The sequence below is a fragment of the Homo sapiens genome, chromosome 14, assembly GCF_000001405.40.
Source record: "Homo sapiens chromosome 14, GRCh38.p14 Primary Assembly".
Lineage (NCBI taxonomy): Eukaryota > Metazoa > Chordata > Mammalia > Primates > Hominidae > Homo > Homo sapiens.
This window is the reverse complement of record NC_000014.9, coordinates 34457639-34463638: the sequence shown is the minus strand read 5'-3', so window position 1 is coordinate 34463638 and position 6000 is coordinate 34457639. Positions and strand designations below refer to the sequence as shown.

At 47.9% G+C, this 6000-nt stretch overlaps 1 protein-coding gene across 1 annotated transcript in view, besides 5 other annotated features; it reads left to right on the top strand.

The window, feature by feature from the left end:
* Positions 586–1536: an enhancer, noted in NCBI's record as "H3K27ac hESC enhancer chr14:34931309-34932259 (GRCh37/hg19 assembly coordinates)". NCBI's record gives its function as "activates a minimal SCP1, AML or CMV promoter by ChIP-STARR-seq in primed H9 embryonic stem cells {active_cell/tissue: H9 hESC(primed)}" and the evidence as "EXISTENCE:reporter gene assay evidence [ECO:0000049][PMID:30033119]".
* Positions 877–1386: a silencer, noted in NCBI's record as "silent region_5663". NCBI's record gives its function as "represses an Ori minimal core promoter by ATAC-STARR-seq in GM12878 lymphoblastoid cells {active_cell/tissue: GM12878}" and the evidence as "EXISTENCE:reporter gene assay evidence [ECO:0000049][PMID:35858748]".
* SPTSSA (serine palmitoyltransferase small subunit A) overlaps positions 1399–6000 on the top strand; it is a 29453-nt gene continuing 24851 nt past the window's right edge. The window contains exon 1 of the mRNA NM_138288.4: positions 1399–1543. Coding sequence (NP_612145.2) covers positions 1432–1543 — 112 coding nt within the window. The 5' untranslated portion in view covers positions 1399–1431. The remainder of the gene's footprint in view (positions 1544–6000) is intronic.
* Positions 1507–1676: a silencer, noted in NCBI's record as "silent region_5662". NCBI's record gives its function as "represses an Ori minimal core promoter by ATAC-STARR-seq in GM12878 lymphoblastoid cells {active_cell/tissue: GM12878}" and the evidence as "EXISTENCE:reporter gene assay evidence [ECO:0000049][PMID:35858748]".
* Positions 2077–2186: an enhancer, noted in NCBI's record as "active region_8253". NCBI's record gives its function as "activates an Ori minimal core promoter by ATAC-STARR-seq in GM12878 lymphoblastoid cells {active_cell/tissue: GM12878}" and the evidence as "EXISTENCE:reporter gene assay evidence [ECO:0000049][PMID:35858748]".
* Positions 4547–5048: an enhancer, noted in NCBI's record as "H3K4me1 hESC enhancer chr14:34927797-34928298 (GRCh37/hg19 assembly coordinates)". NCBI's record gives its function as "activates a minimal SCP1, AML or CMV promoter by ChIP-STARR-seq in primed H9 embryonic stem cells {active_cell/tissue: H9 hESC(primed)}" and the evidence as "EXISTENCE:reporter gene assay evidence [ECO:0000049][PMID:30033119]".

The window sequence follows — 6000 nt, the reverse complement described above, 5'->3', positions numbered from 1 at the left end:
CTTTCTTTTGCTCTGCCACCTAAGATGGAGTGCAGTGGCACCATCCTGGCTCACTGCAACCTCGACCTCCCGTGCTCGAGCAATCCTCCCGCCTCAACCTCCTGAGTAGCTGGGACTACAGGTGCACGCCACCACCCCTGGCTAACTTTTTGTTATGTATTTACTTATTTTTTTTGGTAGAGACGGGGTTTCACCATGTTGCTCAGGCTGGTCTCGACCTTCTGGACTCAAGTGATCCGCCAGCCTCAGCCTCCCAAAGTGCTTGGATTACAGGCATGAGCTACGGCGCTTGGCCGGCACTTGGTACTTTTAATGAATAGTTATTAACCATGAAACTTTTAAAGTTTAAGCAGTAGTATGTTTAACCTGGAAGACTTTTAACATTTAAACAGCAGGCCATTTAATTGTGGCAGTTCACATGCTACACCAGTGCATGGAGCTCCTTGTGGCCAGTGCAATGTTGCTGGCCCATCTGGCAGTGGGAAAATCTGGGCATCCAGGAGTGCATCTCTAGGGAAGTATCACCAGCCCTCACACCAATCTCAAGCTGCCTGTCTTCTGCAGAACCCACTAGATCAGCGCGCTTCTGGCCTTGACCCACTTGGTGGTTACCTACAGCCACTAAGAGGTGGGCAGATAGATGTTTTTGGTAAGTGGTCTCTGGGTTAGGGAGTGCATGGGTTATGTCCGTCTAGGGGTGTGTGTGTGTGTGTGTGTGTGTGTGTGTGTGTGTGTGTGTGTGTGCATGGGTGGGGGAAGGGAGGAAGGAGGCCGAATGTGCATCCCTTCTACAAGGACGCCTTTCCAGACCTCCTTATTAGGTGGCGTTCGCCTCCTCACCCTCTCTCAGCCCCTTATCTCCTCTTACACGGATCACGACTTGATTAATGCTTGTCTCCCAGCTAGGCCGCCAGCTGCACAAGGTAAGGAACCGAAGGCATTCCGGTTCTCCCTGGCAATCCTCCTTCTCAGAAGGATGCCTGAGGCATAACAAGTGTTCCAGAAATATTTCTTCCGCAAGCGCTCTGGGCCAGTCTGGACGGACCGAGCGCCCGCTGGGCTGCGGGGGCCCCGGGACCCCGGCCGGCACTGACGCCCCGCCCACCACCGGCCGGCCCGGGCGGGGTGGGGCGCGGCTGGGCGCTCTCGCGGGGACCGTTCTCCGGCTAGCGTGGGCGATGCCCGGGCGGGGAAACGGGAGGGGACGACGCGACGCGAGGTAGCGGCCTGGCCAATGAGCGCGGGTCGGGCGGGGCTGGGGGCCGGCGGCCGGGGCGCGCGCGGGTCTGGGCGTGCCGCGGGTGACGGCGGGGCCGGGCGGGCCAATGGGCGCTGGGTGGCGGGCGGGCGGGCCTGGCGGCCGGGGGCTTTAGGACGTGAGCGGGCGGCCGGCCGGACAGACTGACGTGTGAGCTGCATCGCGGGAGGCGCATGGCGGGGATGGCGCTGGCGCGGGCCTGGAAGCAGATGTCCTGGTTCTACTACCAGTACCTGCTGGTCACGGCGCTCTACATGCTGGAGCCCTGGGAGCGGACGGTGTTCAGTATCCTGTCCCGGCCGCGCGCGCGGGGGCCGGGCTGGGGGCGCGGGCCGCGGGGCCGCATTTCCCCAGGCCCCGGGCCTGGGGTGGAGGCTGGAGCGGCGGCCCCGCCGGTCCTGTGCGCGGAAGCCGGGGGTGCAGGGGGAGGTCTGGGGGCCGAGGGCGGCGCTCGCGGGGTTAAGTGGGGGGTGGGGGAGACGAGAACTCTTGAGATCCGGGGTCACCTGTGAGTCGCTGGACCCAAGGGGGAAGCGTCTTGATTCCTGGAGGAAATCTCCGAAGGTGATGTGTAACCCTGTGTGTCGCCTGCACTTCGGCCGCAACTGCCTTTGGTTCAGTCCCCTGTTCCTGTAGGAGGCGGGGATCATGTAACAGTGGAGCACATCGCTCCCGGCTTGGACGCCTTTGACCTTTAAGTGTTCCTGATTTAGTTGGCTTTGGGTCTACCAAGAATTCTAGTCAGTTAACTAGCTTTTAAGCCAGGTTCTGAATTTGTAGGCATGACACTCCAGTAGTTTTTGAAAGCAGTTTAAGTTATTGTATCTTTTTGGTCTTCAAGTTGGGGAGTTTTAAAAGTGTATTTATTGCTTCTGTGCACCGTCCGTAGAAGTCGGCCCGAAAAGTGGTGCAATTTGTGGTTAGTTGTCGGTAGGGTTTGAAACTGTGTTTTGGTGGATAGTTAATAAATTCTTGTTAATGACTATTGAGTGGTTACTATAAGCAAAGCATTTGTGCAAAGCACGTTGTCTGTATCTTAACTCATCTAACTTTGAGAACTTCAGTTAATAACTCAGGGTTGTGAAGATAGGCTCCCTGAAAGTCTGATGTTTCTTGTCTCTGCTTGTCCATATTGACATCCTTTGATGATATTCTTGCAGATTAAATACTGATAATGAATGAGATGTAACTTTTAAAAAACTCAGGCCAATACAAAACAGGTATTTCACAAAACATGTTTAGTTTATCCACGTTCTCTCCTTTTCAGTGTGGTTTAGTTGGAGTAGCTTACTTCAGAATAACTTTGCGAATGCATTGTTGCATTCCAGTGAGTGACTGAGGTAATTTCATTCTAAGCCTTATCAAGTGTGTTTATTTGTTTTGAGATAGCTTAAGGTTGTACTCAAAGCTGAGTCTTTTGTTTAAGCACTTTTGAGGAATTTGAGATGCTTTCAAAGCAGTTTATTTATTTATTACTGTTGGCATTTCTTTCCAAACCTGGAATTTAAGAACCAGAATGCATATTTTGGATTTAGACTCTGAATATAGTTTGCTTTGATTTCCTGCACCATTTATTTGTAGCTGCAGTTTAGTCTCACTCTTTAGGGCTCGCAAGGTCATGCCTTGTAAAATATATACTTGAATGCATATTTAATAGAAGTCTCTCAGTAGAAGCAAGTATATCTTGACTGACATAACACATCCTAAAATTAATTTAAACAATGCTGGGTTAAAATGAAACTCTTTAAATCAGAGGTTGAATGTAGAGTGCACTATTAGAATCTAGTATAGATTTGACACCTAAAATCTAATATAGATTTTACACACTAAAATGCTACAGTTATCAATGATGTTAAGATTTTTCTGTTATGTTGCAATAGTGATAGTGTCCTATAAATAACTAGGTGATGCCTTTTTTGGGGGATGGAGAAATAAATTATGAAATGAAATATAGTGCCTTAGTAGATATTTGCCTTTAATGTTTTTGAGTTACCATGGTTTAGCGACAAGTAGTTTCAATTTTTTTTTCAAATAGGTGAGAACTGCAACCAACTGACATCCAATATTATAGAACCTTATGATTTTAAACTTAAGATAAAAAAATCTTATTTCAAATTTCACGTTATTGAATTAACTCAGGTTAGAAATGCAATTGTTTGACATAAGCCAGTCTTGAATTACTATCAGCTGTTGTATTTATATTTTTCCACTTCAACTTCTAGAATCATTTAAAACTATCTGATAGTTTGGAACATCAATTTGAGATTGAATCCTCATTTTAGCTTGGTGGAAAGAACTGAATGAGAAAACTGGATTTTTTTCCCTACTTGTCAGGAGGCTTACTCTGAAGTAGTTTGAATTTCATAAATCCATTAATGATTAGTAAGCTTCACCCAGAACTAATCTGTGGCCAGCTACAGGCTTTTGGAAAGAGGCATACTTTCTACAGCTTAAACATTACATTCAACTTAATCATCAATCCTAGAAACCTAAAATTTAGAGAAATTTGCCTCTGCCTGTCTGAAAATTTGTCTCTGAGTTAGAAGTCCTGAACAGAGGAAGACTTCAGATTGATTTCTTTTCTTTGTGTGTGTGTGTGTGAGACAGTGTTTTGTTCTTGTTGCCCGGCTGGAGTGTAATGTCGCCATCTTGGCTCACTGCAACCTCCGCCTCCCAGGTTCAAGCGATTCTCCTGCCTCAGCCTCCAGAATAGCCGGGATTACAGGTGCCTGCCACCACGCCTGGCTAATTTTTGTATTTTTAGTAGAGATGGGGTTTCGCCATGTTGGCCAGGCTGGTCTCGAACTCCTGACCTCAAGTGATCTGCCCACTGCAGCCTCCCAAAATGCTGGGATTACAGGCATGAGCTACCACGCCTGGCCAGATTAATTTTCTTCTTTTTCTTTTTCTTTTTTTTTTTTTGAGACGGTGTCTCGCTCTGTTGCCGAGGCTGGAGTGTGGTGGTGCAATCTTGGCTCACTGCAACTTTGCATCCCGGATTCAAGCGATTCTCCTGCCTCAGCCTTCTGAGGTAGCTGGGATTACAGGTGCCCACCACCACGCCCAGCTAATTTTTGTATTTTTAATAGAGGCGGAGTTGGGGGTGGGGTGGGGGTGGGGTGGTTTTACCATGTTGGCCAGTCTGGTCTCAAACTCCTGACCTCAAGTGATCCGCCTGCCTTGGCCTCCCAAAAGTGCTGGGATTACAGGTGTGAGCCACCGCGCCTGGCCCAGATTAATTTCTTAAAGAGGATAGATGCATTAGTTTACATTTCCTGCTATATAATGCATTTTTAAAAATTTGAAGTTGTGGGCCGAGTGTGGTGGTGGACGCCTGAAATCCCACTAGTCGGGAGGCTGAGGCAGGAGAATCGCTTGAACCCGGGAGGCGGAGGTTGCAGTGAGCCGAGATCACGCCACTGCACTCTAGCCTCAGTGACAGAGTGAGACTCCGTCTCAAAAAAAAAAAAAAAAAAGTTGTAATTTCAGGGGAAATTGATAACGTACTATCACTGTACTTTCCAGGGGCATCCTTGAGCATCTGAATGGATGTTTAGAAATTATTTGCTTCTTGACTTCCCAAGTCAAATAGCTAGAAGTTAGTTAAAAGCTGTTGTAAATTGAAAGTCAATCTTGGCCGGGCGCGGTGGCGGTTCACCAGTCTGGCCAACATGGTGAAACCCCATCTCTACCAAAAAAAAAAAAAAAAAAAAAAAATTAGCTGAGTGTGGTGGCGCACGACTGTAGTCCCAGCTACTCGGGAGGCTGAGGCAGGAGAATCGCTTGAACCCAGGAGGCAAAGGTTGCAGTGAGCCGAGATCGTGCCACTGCACTCCAGCCTGGGCCACAGAGCAAGACTCCATCTCAAAAAAAAAAATAAAAAGAAAGTCGATCTTAGGCCTGGCGCGGTAGCTCACACCTGTAATCCCAGCACTCTGGGAGGCCGCGGTGGGCAGATAGCTGGAGTCCAGGAATGTGAGACCAGCCTAGAAAACATGGTGAAACTCAGTCTGTACTAAAAATGCAAATATTAGCCGGGTGTAGTAGTGTACGCCAGCTACTTTGGTGGCTGAGGCACCAGAATCTCTTGAACCTGGGAGGCAGAGGTTGCAGTGAGCTGAGATGGCGCCACTGCACTCCAGCCTAGGTGACAGCCTGTTCAAAAGAAAAAAAAATCTCAATTGAATATAAGTATTTTTGAACTTACCTATGTAAGGAAATTGCAATTTGTAAAAAAGATTTTAAGATGTGTTTTTAAGGAAAAGCATCTATTGGGTCAAGTCAGACACATTGTGAATAGTTCTTGAAACAGTAAGATTTATAAGTAAGTTTTGTAAATTCTTCCTCACTAGGGCCTATATACCATCTGTCTTTTCTTTTCTTTTCTTTGTTTTTTTTTTTTTTTTTTTCCGAGACAGTCTTGCTCTGTCACCCAGGCTGGAGTGCAGTGGTGCGATCTCGGTTCACTGCAGCCTCTGCCTCTGGGATTCAGGCGATTCTCCTGCCTCAGCCTCCCAAGTAGCTGGGACTACAGGCCGTGCCACCATGCCCAGCTAAATTTTTGTATTTTTAGTTGAGGTGGGGTTTCACCATGTTAGCCAGGCTGATCTTGAACTCCTGACCTCAAGTGATCCCCCCACTTCAGCTTCCCGAAGTGCTGGGATTGATTATAAGCATGAGCCAAGATGCCTGGGCTACCATCTGTCTTCTGATGAGACATTTGAAGTGATACATTGGCTTTT